The following is a 17,404-nucleotide window of genomic DNA, read 5'->3' as shown; positions in this document are numbered from 1 at the left end:
CACCCGTGCCCTATTCTACCCACCCCACATCAGCCTGAAAGGAGGAAAAGGGAACCAACAGGTACCCAGTGCCCCCTCTGGTGCCAGCTACTCACATATGTAATCCCCACCTGAGCAAGCCCCAGTGAGCCTTTGAGGGCAGCTCTGAAGTGAGAACTCTGATGTGAAAGCTCCGTCATGTCAAAGGGCATGCTGGGGTTTGGAAGAGAAAAGACCTTCCCCTCCCCATCAGGCTCAGGTGACTCAAAAGGTGAACTTCAATCACCTTGCTTTTCCAAAGCATTGACACTGCTGTCATGGTGTTAACCAGAGGTTTGCCTCTCTTAATAAGCAGTGTGGGTGCATCGGTTCATGCACCAACACTGGTTATGCTCACAAGGGTGCTTTCTTGCTCATGGCCATCCTGTCAGGCAGCCTCTCATGTGTTTTCCATTCAGAGATGTTGGGTCACACCACCAGTAAGTGGCAGAGCTGGGATTTGAACCCAGAGTGTCTGTGTCCAATGGCATGCTCTTTCCAGCCTCTCCAAACCCCCTCCTGGTGTGGCAGTTTAAGTGCCCTGCATTTTTCCAACAAAGCTGCTTCCTGAGCTCCCTGTGTGTGGTCAAGCTGTCTGTGAAGGCTCCATTCCAGCCGCCCACCTCGCTCTGAACCTGTCTCATGTTTTGAGGGTAATCTGCAGGTAAATTCTCTGGAGAGCGGGTGACAGAGAAGGACTGAGCCGCAGCTGCCTCCCTGGGCAGGACTGAGAACTGACAGTGTCTCAAAGATTCCCTCCCTCCCCACAAACACCACAGCAGCGATTCCACAGGCAAAATTATAGCCAGATCAAGGACAGCAACTGGGGATTAAAAACTTTAAACCCATTAGGTTTGCTTTCAGCATTTGATCCCAAAGCCAAAGCTTCCCCAGGGACCCACGTTTTGGTTACATGAGTCAAATTCTTCACTGTGTGTCCACCACGGGGAAACCCCAGGAATTGTCCGCATCCCTTACTGGGCAGAAAGCAGCCCAGGCTTGAGTAAAGGAAGAGCTGGTGCCAGGATAGCCACCTCTGACCACACCAAACCCTTCATTTCCAGAGGGAGGGGACTCACTAGGGACCAATGCTTGCCCAATGGAGCCATGGGACCTGAAAGGCCTCATAAGCTCTTCTTATATTTGGGGAAACTGAGGCTCCTGGTATTTAAGCAGTGGATACTGACTGCTTTCTAGGGTTTTAAGCCAGTAGTTCTACCTGGCTTCTAAGCTTTATGGGAAAGTTATGCATGGTGATAAAGTGTAAGAAGCACAGGCAGTAACATAGGGTTTAAGTCCTGCCTCTACTGCTGACAAGCTGTGTCTCTTAGACAAGTGTCTTAAACACTCCAAGCCTCAGTTTTCCTCTTCTGTAAAACAGGAGGAATAAAAGTGTACCTAAGAAGGTTTCTTGTAAGGTTTAAGCAAAAGAATGTTTATAAAACACCCATCATAGTGCCTGCTACAAAGTAGGTGTTCAAAGAAATGTTAGACTGCTGGGCAGTAGTAGGTCAAACACCTTGACACTCAACTCATCCCAGTTCTAACTCCTGGCAGCACCCAAGAGCTCATAGATCCTTAGAATTGCAAAAGTTGTCAGAATCAAAATGGAGTCACTTATGTTTAAAAAAAAAAAAAAAACCCTGACAAATAGAGCTGTGGGACGCCATGAAGGAAAGGTTTTCATGCATAAACAACTGATAACAAGAACTAGCACAAAAAAATCTGCAAAAACACAATCTTGCACAAAGGCCATCACAACCTTACACACACACACACACACACACACACACACACACACTCACACCTTCTGTGAGGAAATCTACCTAGCAACTCTCTATCCAACCTCAAACTGGTGCCACCCTTGTCACTGATCCTTGTATCCAAAGATAATTATCTCAAAACAATTAAGTAATCCTCATTTTTCCTTTAAAAGCCTTTGTTTTCCTTTACCTCCCTGAATATTCATGCAGATTACTGTGACACATGTATTCCCACTGCAATGCCCTATTCCTGAGTAAACATTTTCTTTTAGAGAGCCTCTCTCTGTGTTTGCTATTTAGGTTAATAGAACCTTGTTCCCTTTTCTGGTGCGCTGGGCAGGAATTTATTCAGACTGTCACAGTAATTCAGGGACAGCCAGGATGCTTTCACCACCAGTAATATATTACAAAGTGGCCACAATTCCCCATCCTTCCTGTATCCCTGCTCTTTTCAGTGTGACTTTGCAGCTTCTCTTGTCAAGAGATGAAATGTGTTTCTGCCTCCTCTTGATGTAGTCTGGACCTGTGACTTACATTGGCCAAAAGAATGTGGCAGAGGGGCATGGTTTGACTTCTGAGCTTAGGCTTCAAGAAATCATGCAAGCCTCTGATTGTTCTGTTGGTACCCTACCCAACCACCATGTGTACAAGCCCAGGCTAGCCTGCAAGAGGATGAAATACATATGGAGCAAAAATAAGCCCTCCCAGCTGAAGCCATCCTTTGCCAGCCAGCCAACCAGCTAACCCAGAAGTTGACCACAGATGCATGAGTGAGTCCTGGAGAGAACAGAAGAACCACCCAGCTGAACCCAACCTAAGCTGCCAACCAGAGAATAAGCTACAGGTGGTGGTTGATTTAAGCCACTAAGTTTTGGGGTGGTTTGTTAGGGATGCAGCAATATTGTGGTGATAGAAAACAGATACGTCATCAAGCTAAGGCATGCCACTTCTGACGGAATCTGGACCGTGGTAATTCCATCGCCCACTAATTCCCGCTAAGTCCAAACCAATTATCCAACTATGCAGCTGACAACTATTGCTATGGCTCCTCTAGCTACCTGGTCTCCTTTCCCTCCCTCAAAGGAATCTCATCACCAACCAGGACCACAGACTTTTACTGAAGGCCCTGAGATGGGACAGGCATGGTGGAGTAGTAGAATAGGCCCTAAAGAGTGTATCCGAAGTCACACCCAGGAGTGTGCCAGCTACAGCTATGTGACTTTAGACAAGTCCCCTGGCCACTCTGACCCTTCCTTTCCTTTTCTGTAAAACAAGGATAATAACAAATGCATGATCCCCCTCCCAAGGCAGTGATGAGGCACAAAAGGAAAAGGCAGATGAAAGTGTTTGGGGGACCATGCACCCCAGGATGGCCTGATTTGCAAGAGTAGATTATGGTATTTTATCTGCAAGGCCAAGAGCAGACACAAATGCCCTCCGAAGAAGCCCTTTTCCTTTCAGGGCCCTTCTCCTTTTTCCTTAGAAACCTGATACCTTGGACAGGGCCTTGATGGAGGTGGAGGTAGGGAGGGTAGCATGGCTAACCCTGAGAACAGTCAGTTTAGCATTAAATCAGTCCCACCTTGGTTCAAAGCACAACTCTGTAATTTACTTACTTGCTGGGTAACCTTGGACAAGTGACTTGGCTTCTCTGTGCTTCGGGAGTGGTAGCCTGCTCTGCATAAAGGGAACTATGAACACAGTGGTTCTGGCATATAGAAAGTATTCATAAAAGGTTGGCAATAATAATTTTTATCCTGGAGAGCCTAGGTTACAGTAAATGGAGGGAGAGCAGTACAATCCACACCACATAACGCTAAGTCAGAGAATGAAATTGGTGGAGTCCATGCCCAACTGGGAAAAGCAGAGGCACGGGGGCAGGGTCCAACCTTGGAGTGACATTGGTCCCCAGCTTGTGTGTTAGGGAGTGAAAGGTCAGAGGCTGCTGCCCTGGCCTGGGGCTCAGGTCTTGGCAGACACACTGAGGGGAGGCAACTGGAGAAGGAGGCAAGGCAAAAGGACTGAGGTTTTCCTTCCACATCTGAAAGCAGCAAGTGAACACTAAAATCCAAGGGATAGAGCAAATTACAGACTTCTGGCAGATCTAAGAAAAAGCCTTGATATCTTCTTGTTGGTTTCTTGTGATAATTTTTTTTCAAGAGAAATATGGCAATACATTTACATTTACTTTTTAAAAAAGTATCCCATCCTGGAACTGTAGATCTACCTCCCAGACTTATCTGGAGCCTGGGGTGGGAGCTGGAGCTCCCCATAACAAGGGTGGCCTCCCATCTGCTCCTTGGCTTTCCAAGAGCACAGAGAAGAAACAGGCAGGCAAAATTCTAGGATTTACAATCCCAAAGATCTCCATTTAAAGTAGCCATCTCAGATCCTTTTTGGAAGCAGACAGGGTGTAAATGAATGCACAAAAATGCAGATTTATGTAGAGCATAACAAAAATGTTAGAGGCCACACATAATGAAGAGTGTGTCTATGTTAGAATATCTCATTCATTTCAGTGTTGAGTGTCAACACTCAAAGTCTGATGAATAAATGAATGAATCAACAAAAATACTGAAAGAAAACTCAGCATCTCAAGTCAGGATGAAAAAGACCATTGGTTTCATAAATCAGATCAAGTAACAAGAGAAATAACTACGAGCATCTATCAAGGGCTTACTGTGTGCCGTGTTGTGCTCTGGGCTTTGCAGATATCATCTCATTTAATGCCCCCACCAACCTAATGAGGGATGTACCCTTATTACTCTTTACAGAAAAGGAAACTGAGGTTCAAACAGCTGAAGTAATTGGTCAAGATCACACAGCTCCTAAGCAGAGAGCTGAGTAAGGCAGGCTGAGGGCAGGGCTAATGCTGGAGCCCACTCTCTTGGCCACCAGGCACTTGTGCATCTCAGCAGTGCCCCCTTTTATGGCACAAAAATCGTGGATCTGGTTGTTGCTGTGGAACCAGGGATTCAATGAAGGTAGAGACAGGAACACTACTCAGCTGAATCTGGAACATCCACCCTCTAGGACCCATCCTGGTGCAAAAGAGGTGCCAAGACCCTCTGCAATGCTGCCTACTGGTGTGTACTGCACAACACCAAGTTTACTCTGGGATCCACATACATCACAGCACTTGGACACTAGATAGGAAGGGGTAGGAAAGGCCATCTCCCAGGTGGCCTTAACACACCAACAGATCAGCTAAGATGGAGGAAATTTGTTCCGTGATTTTTTATTTTTCTTAAAAATTTGGGCACATAGTCCGGGTGCGGTGGCTCACGCCTGTAATCCCAGCACTTCGGGAGGCCAAAGTGGGCAGATCACGAGGTCAGGAGATCGAGACTATTCTGCCCAACACAGTGAAACCCACTCTCTACTAAAAATACAAAAAATTAGCCGGGTGTGGTGGGGGGCACCTGTAGTCCCAGCTACTCGGGAGGCTGAGGCAGGAGAATGGCGTGAACCCAGAAGGTGGAGCTCGCAGTGAGCCGAGATCGCACCACTGCACTCCAGCCTGGGTGACAGAGCAAGACTCCATCTCAAAAAAAAAAAAAAAAAAAAGATTTGGGCACACAGTAGGTACATATTTATGAGGTACATGAGATATTTTGTTACAGGCATGTAATATGTAATAACCACAGCAGGGTAAATGGGGTATCCATCACCTGAAGCGTTTATCCTTTATGTTACAAGTGATTCAATTATACTCTTTTAGTTATTTTTAAACTACAATCAAATTATTGTTGACTATTGTCATTTTGTTGTGCTATCAAATACTAGTTCTTACTCATTCTTACTCATTCTTTCTAATTTTTTGTACCCATTCATGCCTTTTATTAAGTGTTCAAATATTTGAGGATACAAATCATCCTCTCACATATTGTTGGTCACTGGTGCAGAAGTTTGACTCTGTGTGGGTTTCTTTAATAAAGTTACAAACCCAGGAGTGATTCTGAAACACTGGCCACCATGGCTACCTTCCCCAATTCAGAGATTCCTAAATAAGTGGTGGGAGCCAGTAGAACTCAGAGTGGATGGGGGGATAGTAACAAAGCAGCCCCAGGAGGTTAGAGGGATACATGGAATATTGCAGAGTACTCCATCTTTCCTGGGACACTTCTGTCTTAATGCTAGACAGCCTTGGTGTGAGAAGAGGCCCTTCAAATGTCCCTGGCAGAATCATTGGGTCCCTGTTCACTCAGTGATCAAACATCTCCAGAAAACAGAACCCTAGCATCCCCCCAAGAGTAGCCAGTGGGTCATGAATAAGCATCCCCAAAGGGTGCCGCAGAGAAGCTACTGCTATTGCAATTCAATAACTTTTCCAGGAAAGCAGGCAGAACAGAACTTCACAAGACAGATGTTTGAGCGCCCTGAAGCCCCCAAACTCGGATTCTTGACTTCCTGACAGGCAGTCAGCCTGGGTGGGCAAAGGCACAGGCCTGTGCTCGACAACTCATTAGCCATGTAACTTGGGCAATAATGCCTCTGTACCTCAGCTTCCCCTCCATGAATGGGGATAAAATGATAGCCAGCTGCTACAGACTGAATGCTTGTGTTCCCTCAAAATGTATATGTTGAAATCTTCACCCCAAGGTAATGTTATTTGGAGGTGGGGACTTTGGGAGGTGATTAGGTCATGAGGATATAACCTATGAATGAGTTAGTGCCCTTATAAATGTGGCCCCAGAGAGCTCCCTCATCCCTTTCACTGTGTGAGCTTAGAGTGAGAACACCACTATCTATGAACCAAGAAACAGGTGCTTACCAGACAGCAAATCTGCTGGGGCCCTGATCTTGGACTTCCAAGGCTCTAGATCTGTGAGAAATAAATTCTGTCATTTATAAGCAACCCAACCTATAACAGTTTGTTATGGCAGCCCAAATGGCTACCAGCTGAAAGGACTGTTGGGAACATTAAATGAGCTGGTATGAGTACCAATGTAGATAGCACTTGACATCTACTGAATATTCAGATACACTGTTGCTGCTTTTGGTGTTATTGTTGCTACTGTTGCTAATTTAAACTCAACACAGAAGTCCTTTTTGGTCAGAACAGACATTGGTGGACCAAGTGAGCCCGTGGTTTCAAAGACTGTAGATTTTTCCCAATCTTGGACTTACATCGGCTTCCTAGGACTCCTTCTGGCAAAAAGGAAGGTTGGGATAAAACATTTTATTCTGCTTTGGTTGATCGCCAAATCCACTTGGCTAAAAGGATTTGCAGTTCAGAGAACTCGGTGGCTCAGCGTAAAGCAGAGCTCCTTTCTTCTGAAATCCATCACCTGTGACTTCTCTGACATCAGAAAGAGGCACCTTGTGAGTCAGCTGGTGGCAAGATTGCTCAGGATTCTGTTTCTGGGCCAGTCCCAATGGCCCTACTGTCAGTCCTGACGCTCCACACACTGATTACAGAGGTATGAGCAAAGATGATCCCCAGCCACACTGCAGGCCAAGGAGCACATCTCACACCCTCCCAACACAGTGATTCACGCGTGGCAGGCTCCAGGGCAGCCACAGAGGTGTGGGTCACTTCATGCTGTTCAGCTGCAAGGCGGAATGTCAGCTGACAGCCTCCAGCTGCAGCTTTCTTGGGATCTGCTGCAGGATTCCAGCTGAGGCTGTGCTCTTCCCAGACAGCTCCAGCCAATACCTGACCCTGGCAGAGGACAGCTATTTCTGCCCAGTGATCTCTGTTGAGTTGACTGAGACTTTAATCAGATCTGCATAGAGTCAGAGGCTCTCTCTGTCCCATCCAACTTCCCCATTTGTCTTTCACAGGCAATACCCGCCCCCAACAATTCTCTCACACTCCTATCTCTGTCCTAGCATCTGCTTCCTAAAGGATGCAAACTGACACAAGCCCCCAGTGAATGTGCATTGATCTCTCAGGCTGGGGTGGGCCTTGAACAAGGCGTGTAACTCTGTAAGCCTCAGTTCCCCAAATAGCAAACTGGAAACCACTCACCAGGATGTTACAAAGACTCAACTAAAGAATATTATGCCTGTGAAAGCATCTGACTTCTTGTAGATACTATCTGACGAAATTCATTTTGGTTGTTAAAATTCCATGCAACCCCTTGAAAGCAAGGAATTTCAGAGAACACCATGGCTGCTTTTAACAAATGTAAAAACAACATTTTCCCTGAACAAATCACAATAGAAGTTATCAGGAGACCATTTCCTGAACAGCAGCATGTCACCAGGGAATCAGAGCTGGCTGGGGCCCGGCCCTTCACACTCTCACACTCAGGGCCGTTAATGACTGGTTGAGACAAGACTGTCTTCTTGCCCTGGAAGGTTCTCCACTGGGCAAGACAGCTGTCTCTGCCCCCAGCCAGCATTCAGCACTAGCTCAGAAAACAGCACCCTTGCCAGCTTCTCCAGATCTTCAGAGAAATTTCCCAGAAACCCCGAGAAGATGCTTTTTGGATCCCCTTGGAACTCAGGCCTCATATATGTGTTGTTCCTTCTTGAGAGCTTGAGAAAGCAGGCTCTGTAGGGTGAGTGAGGACCAGGAACAATGTCTGAAAATGCCATTTCCCTAGAAAAATTCAAATGAGGAAGCGGACCTACACCTTCCCCTAGAGTCTGGCACAGGACAGAGGAACTCTGCAAAGATGCTCACCACTGAGGTTATGAGAAGGCAGGGCTCCCACCACCATTTCTGGGTGTTTCCTCAGCAAGACGGGCAGGGCCAGGGGCAGCAGGTCCTATGATCCCAGGGCTCCCCTTCTAAATGTTTTCCCTTCACAGGAGTTTCTCTTCTGCCCCTCTGAACAACTCATGCCTGCCTGAGGACAAGCCTCTCCCCCATCAGAGCCTAGATCTTAAATTTCATTTGAGACACACAACTAGAACCCCACAATTTTCTCACCTGTCAGATTGTGAGCAAAAAGTTTTCATTGTTGAACCCCCAGCCCTAAATATAGATCAGGCCCTGCGGTGTTTTATGAGTAGAAAGACAATTCAACCTCTTCAGCAGGCAATAATTTTTAGTTAGATGTAAGCACCCGTTTCGGTTTTAGTACTCACATATGCTATGGGTTGATTTTTTTTCTTTTTCTTTTTCTTACCTCTCCTTTTGATCCTTGTCTAGCCCTTTAAGACTTACATCATTGCTCTAAACCCACACTGCCCAGTAGAACTTTCCGTGATGATGAAAATGTTCTCTCTGTGTTGTGTCCAATGCAGTAGCTACTAGCCCCATGTGGCTACTGAGTACTTGAAATGTGGCAAGTGCAACTGAGAAGCTGCATTTTAAATTTTATTTTTAGTTAATTTACATACCAATATATCTGGCTAGTGGTGACTACATCAGACAGCTCACCAGAACTATCTAGCTTGTTCTTTTAATTCTCAACCTTCATGCAAATCAAGGATATGTTCTCCTTGGCTTGGAATTGCCTCCTATTCCTCACTGAACAACACTCTGACAACTTTAACAAAGCAAAAAGCCCAGCACATCTTCCATTTCCGAGCACTCGCTCTGTGCCTAAGCACAGCCGTCTTGATGTGTCCCAGGAGAGGGAGCAGGAAGCACGTCTCCAGAAAGGAAGCCAGTGCACCCAACCACTTTGGACTCCAGGGCGTCTGGGGCAGAGAAGGAGGAGGGGACGGGGTGGGGTGTGAAAGACGTCCGCTCTGGAGGCTGCACGCCAGCCAGGCAGCATTTATTTATATCACAGGGTGTTACAGTTGTCAGCCCTGCAGCTGAGTAACCGGTCCATGTCTAAAGGAAGGGGACAGAAATCGGCTTTGTCCATGTTCCCTGGCACTTACTGTTGTTGTTCAAAGGACGCCAGAAGACTCAGGGAGTGGGAGCTATAGGAGAGGAAGCTGGCTCTGGGCAGGCAGACACTCTGGGTGTTATTAGAAAAAAAGAAAATTGAGTCCCTTGCATGTTTGTATCCTAGCTGATACAAACGTCATCTGGAACATTGTCCAGGATATTCTGGTCCATCTAGCCATGGGGACAGTTCTCACTGCCCAGAGCACAGTGACAGCGGGACCACTCAAGCAAGTACTCTGAGAGAAGCTGGGTCTGGGGCTCTGTGCTCAGTGTGATATGGCTACAGAGCTGGGTTCAGTCACCAGGGCTGGGAAAAGCAAGATCACCCCCACACTTACACAGGGATCTAGGATCCTCCGATTAGTGACAATTTTGGTCTACAAAATAATTGAGAGAAATGCTCAGTTATGGGATTAGAGAAGTGCTAGTTCCACCAACAGAGCACATTCACATGCTTTGAGATGTACACCCGCAGGTCCCTCAACATGGGAACGCTCTACTCTGCCGCCTGCAGAGTCCGTGCTGACTTTGGGGTCTGTGCTCTCCCCCTACCACTTCCAGCACATTCTTCTCCCTCCCTTTCCCTAGAGACAACACATCTTTTCACCTGTAAAACAGGTAGTTAATTAGCATGAAGCAAATATCTTAGACTGCAAAATATTGAATTAAGTAACAAAGAATAATTTCTTCGAGAAGAGAGACGTAAGATACAAGGCTTAATTAACATGTCTTCTTTTCCTTTCAAAGTTTTGCTATACTGCTTTTCCCTTTCATGTCTATATTTTACCTTCCTCACTCATTTTGACGAGTATTTGTGATCCTTTTAAGTCACCCCCATGTAGGTTCTATACTCTTTCAGTGCACTAGAGCAGCCCTTTGCAAAACTACTCCCAAGCCTCCAGTGTCTGAATAAATTAATGTATTTTTCTAAAGTACACACACTTCACTGGCACTTTGGTAATACATAAAGAATGCCTTGAAGCTTCCATCCTCTCTGACCCAGCAATTCTAAGCCCAGGAATTTATTCAAAGGAAATAATTAAGATTGTCCTCAAGGGTTTCGTTAAAGGTTGTTTACCCCTGCTGCTGTTTGCAATCACGAATAATTGAAAATGACTGACATGTCCCTCAAGCAGGACTAGAAGATCCAGGGCTCAGGTACTGCTTAGGAGTAAGCGACCAACAATCAGTTACCAAGTCAATCAACCAACCCCACAGTTGAAGTTAAGGTACAGACTTAGGACAGATCCAGAATTCACAGGACCTGATCTTACAAATTTAGGGTGACTAACTTTAAGAAAATTAACATAAAATTATAAAATTGGGGACAAGGCATTAATAGGGGCCTATGCAAGCAAGAATCCTTTGGCTTAAGTTTCAGCAGCCTTGCACAATAAGTCTAGCCTCTAGAGGAAAGAAAAAGGAGAAAGAAGATGTTGGAAGTCACTTGCTCCAAAGGCCATAGTTTACCAAGCCTGGGTAAAAAACACATTCAAGCATACATACAGCAAAAAATACATTCAAGGTCTAAGACAAAGAATACTGGGAAAAAGGGAAAGAGAAAAAAGGATGGGGAGGAAAATACTTGAAAACAACAGCATGAGAACAGAAATCAAGGGGAGAACACAATCTAAGAAAAAATTAAGTCAATATGGTGGGTGAGGGAGGAAAAAGAAGCATTATTTTAAAAAGATTTCAGTAGAGTTAAGTTGGTGCCTGAACAGCTATGGGGACAAGCACTCCAATACAAAGAGTAGCCAGCTTGTATCAGAACAAGAGAGGGCACTTTTGAGCTCAGCAGCCCAGACACATGGGTTCCCATGGACCCCTGAAATACCAGTCCCACATCTCAACTGGCAACAAGAATATGCACAGCATTACTGCTCCACACCCACTCCCTACCATTTACCCTGGGTACCAAGCTGAAGGCCAGACTGTCTTTTCCCACACTGGCCAAATCTGCTCATGTCACACAGCTTTTCTTCATCCCCGTTTTAAATCCAAGTAGGCTGAACACCTTTTCTCTGTCAGATCTGCTCTCGTCTCTACCCATTCCTTTCCCAGGCAGTGTGGCTTTGACCTGTGGCCCATGCAAATCCACAGTGACAGTGGCCTGGCCTCTCTCCCTCTAGCTGTCAAAGAGCTCCAAGGCAGTTGAGCCAGCCTCAGCCTGCAGATCACACACAATGCTCCGGCTGGCTTGGCTGCCTGCTCAGCTGCCCGCCCTTTCTCAGCAGCCCGCTGTCCACAGCAGCCCTCCCATTTTTGACAGTGCTTCCCGCGTGCCTGGTGCCTAGTGTGGGGATCTGGGATGTGTTCTTCAACCTCAGACCCTGAGTCTGCAGGACACAGAAAAATGTTCAGCCTGCTCCGCTTTAAAAGGGGAATTTGACAAGTGTTAAGAACAGACACACTCGGTCTTATACCCAGCAACTGGAGTAAGTGAGAGAGGGAGATGTGGAGCTGGGCGAGAGCTATGTGAGGGCTTTGAAAACTGGTTCTCTTGAAGGCTGATCTCCTGAACAGCATGATTCTTAGTGGGCTGGTCTCAGAGTCCCCTTTTCCAGGAATGCTTGAGTACTGCGATCCACAAACCACCCTTTTCCATCAGCCTCTGTCCAATACAGAGCAGTGACTCTCCTGCATAACTACATGCTGAGAGCACCAGCATCAGTGACCTCGACCTCCCTGCCTGCCACCCCTAAGGACGCTCAGGCTGGTGAATACACAATAAAATCAACCCCGGCCTGGCTGTCACCTGGGCCCCCATGAGGCACGACCTTGAACGGGGGAACTTCCCGCAGCCTAACTCTCTCTCCTATCAAGAAGTGACCACTGTGTGGCTGTTTATACCCTCTGGTCCAGAGGATGTGGCCAAGGAGGGCACCAACCCCCCCTTAGTGCTTCTCTGCTGGGGTTGGGCACAAGCTCTGTACCACTCGGCTTATGGTGCTTAATGGGGGAGAGCTGCCCCCTTCTTAGGCCCACCCCTCCGGACTCAGGGGACAACTGGACCCCTTGGCCACTATAGAAACACGTCTCTCTCTTAAGGCTTCTGGTGAAGGTCTCCGGGTCGAATGGCCCATATGAGATGAGACTCAGGCTCTCCCAAGAGATAACTACCTGCCCCACCGGCGGTGTCACTGGGAAGTGCTCCCTCACCTTCCTCTTCCCTATATCCTAGGAGCTTCTCCGCTCCACTTCCACCCAGGGTCTTGTAGGAGCTGGGGGGGGGGGGGGGCGCCGGGGCTCTGGGCTCCAGTGCGCCCCAGTGGATCCCAGACACCCTGCCCCTGGGGAGCCCCACCCCGCGCAGCGGCGCTGGAGAGGCTATACTCCTTCCTCAGGGGTTCCCCAAAACCGGGGAGGGGTGCAGCTCCAGTGCCCCGACTCCTCCAGGCCCTGCGAGGTTCAGGAGGCTCGCTGGGCCAGCGGCGGCCGCCCGGAGGCAGAGGAGCCAAGTTACTTTTCGATTCAGAGAGTGAAGCCGAGTCTAGCTGGGCGGCGGAGGAGACAACTCTAGCGGCTCTCCCCCCACGCTCTGGGCTGGGACCCCAGGGAGGCACCCGGACGCCCCCGCCCGCCTCCAGGCGCCGACCCCGACCTTAGCGGGCCCCGGACGGCGTCCTCCCTTCTCCCGCCGTCCCCCGGCGGCCGAGCCGCGCGCAACGGAGACATTTAAATCGCCCCCTCGGGACGGCGGCGTGGAAGAGACCGGAAAGGCGGCGGCGGCGCTGGCCTGGGGGCCGGGGCGGTGGCCGCGCGGGCCAGGGTCGCGGAGTCGGGCGGGCACTCACCAGCGCGTGTTGTCGTGGAAATGCTCCAGAACTGCGTAGCCGAAGAACGAGTCAGCGGGGCCCTGGAAGTGCACGGGGCGCTGCGGGTCGAGGTTGTAGGCGCCCGCGGGGATCCCCGCGACCACCAGCGCCAGCAGCAGCGCGCGGAGCCTCCCGGCGCCCCTCGGCGCAGCCGGGCCGCCCATCCCCAGCCGGCCGCCGCCTTCCCCTCTGCCCGGCGAGCAGGGCGCCGAGCGCGCGGGCCGCGGGGCCCGCCGACGGCCAGGAAGCTCCCCGGGGCGGGAGCTCTGCGCCTGGACACGGGCGGAATGCGGGCGTCGGGCCCGCCACCGGGGCGCGGACGGCGGGCTGAGCGGGCGCTGAAGGCGAGCACAGGGGCGGCCCCGAGCGGCGGCGTCCTCAGTCCGCCCGAGAAGTCTGCGCGAGCGGGTCCCGGGCCGGGCGGCGCTGGTCTGCGGAGGGGCGCGCCCGCGAGGTGGGCGGCCCGGGCGGCGGCGGCTGGACGGCGCGGCAGCGCCCCCTGCGGGCCGTGAGCCCTGCGCGCACTTCCCGGGCGGGAGTCAGCCCCTGGGACCCGCCGGGGCGCCCCGAACTGCCCCCTCCCCGCCGCGCACGGGGCGCTCGGGTTCCCGGAGATAAGGCTGCTCCCCTCCGTCACTACAGGCTCTGCCGGCCCTGCTGGGCCTGTCTCCCTGCCTTTGTCTCTCTTTCCCTCCCTGTCTCACAACCAGTAAGATCCAGAGCAACCCGGGTGAAGGACGAGTTTAGACTCCAGGTTCTAGCCCTGCGCATCCTCTGCTCCTTCACCCAGTTGTGAGATAAGCTGTAGGAGCAGTGCTCAGTAAACGCCGGCTGTTGTTGTTCATAACAATAGTAGCCACGTGGAAGCGAGCAGAGCACCCCTCCATATTCTAGTCACTTGGTCTCGTACACCAGTGATTCCCGAAGTGTGGTCTCCGGACCAGCAGCATCAACGTCATCTGGGAACTTGTCAGAAAATGCAAATCCTCAGGTCCCACTCAGCCCTGCTAAATCGGAAGCTCTGAAGGTTGGAGTCCAGCAGGGTTTGCGTGCACTGAAGGGTGTGTGTGTGTGTGTGTGTGTAATTGTAAATATGCATAACAGAAAGTTTACCATCTTAACCATTTGTAACTGTGCAGTTCGGGGGATTAAGTATATGCATGTTATGCAACCTTCACCACCATCCATCTCCACAACTCTTCATCTTGGAAAACAAACTTTATACCCTAAACAATAACTCCTCTTTCCCCCTAACCCTACCCCCATCCCCACCCCCAGCCTCTGGCAACCACCTTCCTACCTTCTGTCTCTATGAACTTGACTACTCAAATTCAAGATTCCTACTGAATTGACTGCTATCATGTTGAAGTCTGACCACACTATTATGGTTTCCCTGCCTGTGTTCTCTTCTTTCCACTTTTTAATTCTACAACAGAGTTTGGATAATGGTTGAAAACTTCCCGTTGCCCCCCACCACCTACTCCTGCCTATAGGATGGAGCCCGATCTCCTTAGCATAACTTCACATGGAGGCTCCATCTCTCTTTCCAGCCCCATTTTATGCCCCTTTCCTGACTCACTTCCCACAAACCCTACAATGTATCCACACACAACTTCTAGCTGTCCCCTGAACGTGTCCAACAGGGGTTTTCACACACATCTGTGCCTTCTCCAACGCTGTTCTTTCTTCCTGAAATGTGCCTACCCCTCTTCAACTGGCAAAATCCTATCCATCCTAGACTTCCAGGCCAGTTCTTGCCTCACCCTTTCTGTGCCATTTCCTCTTCCCCTTTCTTTTCTGGGCTGCCAAAGAGTGTTCACATGCCTCTATCTCAACACTTAGAACATGTTCATCATTTTGGGGGCTCTCTGTCCCTCTCCATAGACGGTATAGCTCTCTAAGGAGAAAAAAGTCTTAGATATCTTTGTAGCCCCCAAGGCCCAGCTCAGTGCCAGGCTTAGGTAGATGCTTAAACATTGTTGAAAGAATGAACTGGCTGGGCGCAGTGGCTCACTCCTGTAATCACAGCACTTTGGGGAGGCTGAGGTGGGTGGATTGAGGTCAGGAGTTCAAGACCAGCCTGGCCAACACAGTGAAACCTTGTTTCTACTAAAAATACAAAAAATTAGCCAAGCATGGTGGCACATGCCTGTAATTCCAGCTACTTGGGAGGCTGAGGCAGGAGAATCGCTTGAAGCTGAGGGGTCGAGCTTGCAGTGAGCCGACAGTGCGCCACTGCATTCCAACCTGGGTGACTGAGCAAGACTCCATCTGAAAAAAAAAAAAAAAAGAAAAGAAAGAAAAAGAATAGCTGGGCACGGTGGCTCATGCCTTTAATCCCAGCACTTTGGGAGGCCAAAGCGGGCAGATCACCTGAGGTCAGGAGTTCGAGACCAGCCTGGCCAACCATGGTCAACATGGTGAAACCCCATCTCTATTAAAAATAAGAAGATTAGCCAGACGAGATGCCGCACGCCTGTTATCTCAGCTACTTGGGAGGTTGAGGCAGGAGAACTGCTTTTACCTGTGAGGCGGAGGTTACAGTGAGCCGAGATCGTGCCACTGCACTCCAGCCTGGGTGACAGAGTAAGAATCCATCTCAAGAAAAATGAAAAAAAAAAAGAATGACCTGCTTAAAGAAAAGCAAGCTTAGTAAGAGGATGAGGCACTATGGGGGAGATTTTGAAGGAGACTTTTAACTTTCTTCATGTTTTGGTTGTGTGAGAGTGAAAAATGATCAATTCTCGTTGTAGAACACAAAACACAAGGTTTTCTTTTGTTTTTCTTTTTTTGGTTTTGTTGTTGTTTTTGAGACAGTGTCTCGCTCCTGTCCCCCAGGTTGGAGTGCAGTGGTGCAATCACTGTTCACTGCAGCCTCGACCTCCCAGGCTCCAGCAATCCTCCCACCTCAGCCTCCCAAGTAGCTGGGACCACAGACATGTACCACCATGCCCGGCTAATTTTTATACTTTTGGTAGAAACGAGGTTTTGCCATGTTGTCTAGGCTGGTGTCAAACTCCTGAGCTCAAGTGATCCACCTGCCTTGGCCTCCCAAAGTGCTGGGATTACAGCCATGAGCCACTGTGCCTGGCTGAAGTTTTCATCTGTGGTAGAGAGCACTAGTATCTTCCCAATATTTATACTTCCCATTTTCCTTACTAACAAAGCCCAGAGTTAGTGGAGTGTTAATATGCCTAGCTTTAAAAATAAATAAAACTATGTTTCCCAGTCTCTTTTGCAGACAGAGTGGCCATGTGCAGTGTCTGGCCAATGAGATATGAGCATGTTATTTGGGTGGTAGGCTTCTCAGGAGGTTTCTTAAAGGAGAGGCAACTCAGCTGACTTATGGCTTTTGTCCTGTGCCCTTGCCCCTCTTGCATGAAGCACAGAGGTCATGGCTGGAGATGCAGCAGCTGTTTTGAGGGCCACCTCAAAGGAAAGGCCAGGAGAATTGCAGAGACTTCAGCTGTCACATGCTAGAACTGCTGCACCTGACATGGGATGCCTTCCTGGGGACTTCTTACTACCTGAAAAAAAGTAAACACCTAATTTATAAGAGCCACTGCTTTTAGGGATTCTGTTATTTGTAGGCAAGCAGAATTTCTTGTTGATTTAACATCTAGAATGAATGGAATCTAGAACAGATGCTCCTAACCTAGAGTTCACTCATTTTCCATGTTGCTTCAGAGGTCCTAAGATCCCCTGTGGTTGGTAGACTAATAGTCCCCCTCCTAATCCCTGGAACCTGTGAATATGTCACCTTATATGGCAAAAAAGGACTGAAAATGTGATTAAGGTTAAGGGTCTTGAGATGGAAAGATTTTCCAGGATTATCTGGCTGGGCACAGTCTAATTATGTGAATCCTTAAAAGCAGAGAACCTTTCCTTGGCTGTAGCACGAGAAAGAGATGTGAAGTGGAAGTGGGGTCAGAGAGATGCCACATTGTTGGCTTTGGAGATAAAAGAAGGGACCCATGAGCCAAGTAATACAGGCAGCTTCTAGAAGA

At 48.9% G+C, this 17,404-nt stretch overlaps 1 protein-coding gene across 1 annotated transcript in view, besides 1 other annotated feature; it reads right to left on the bottom strand.

Moving 5' to 3' along the window:
- ITGA9 (integrin subunit alpha 9) overlaps positions 1-13,795 on the bottom strand; it is a 371,367-nt gene extending 357,572 nt beyond the window's left edge. The window contains exon 1 of the mRNA NM_002207.3: positions 13,377-13,795. Within this exon, the coding sequence (NP_002198.2) occupies positions 13,377-13,561 (185 nt within the window). The 5' untranslated portion in view covers positions 13,562-13,795. The remainder of the gene's footprint in view (positions 1-13,376) is intronic.
- Positions 13,708-14,017: a silencer, noted in NCBI's record as "silent region_14199". NCBI's record gives its function as "represses an Ori minimal core promoter by ATAC-STARR-seq in GM12878 lymphoblastoid cells {active_cell/tissue: GM12878}" and the evidence as "EXISTENCE:reporter gene assay evidence [ECO:0000049][PMID:35858748]".

The sequence above is a fragment of the Homo sapiens genome, chromosome 3, assembly GCF_000001405.40.
Source record: "Homo sapiens chromosome 3, GRCh38.p14 Primary Assembly".
Taxonomy (NCBI): Eukaryota; Metazoa; Chordata; class Mammalia; order Primates; family Hominidae; genus Homo; species Homo sapiens.
Note: the sequence above shows the minus strand (reverse complement) of the source record. Positions and strands in the feature narration are given on the sequence as shown.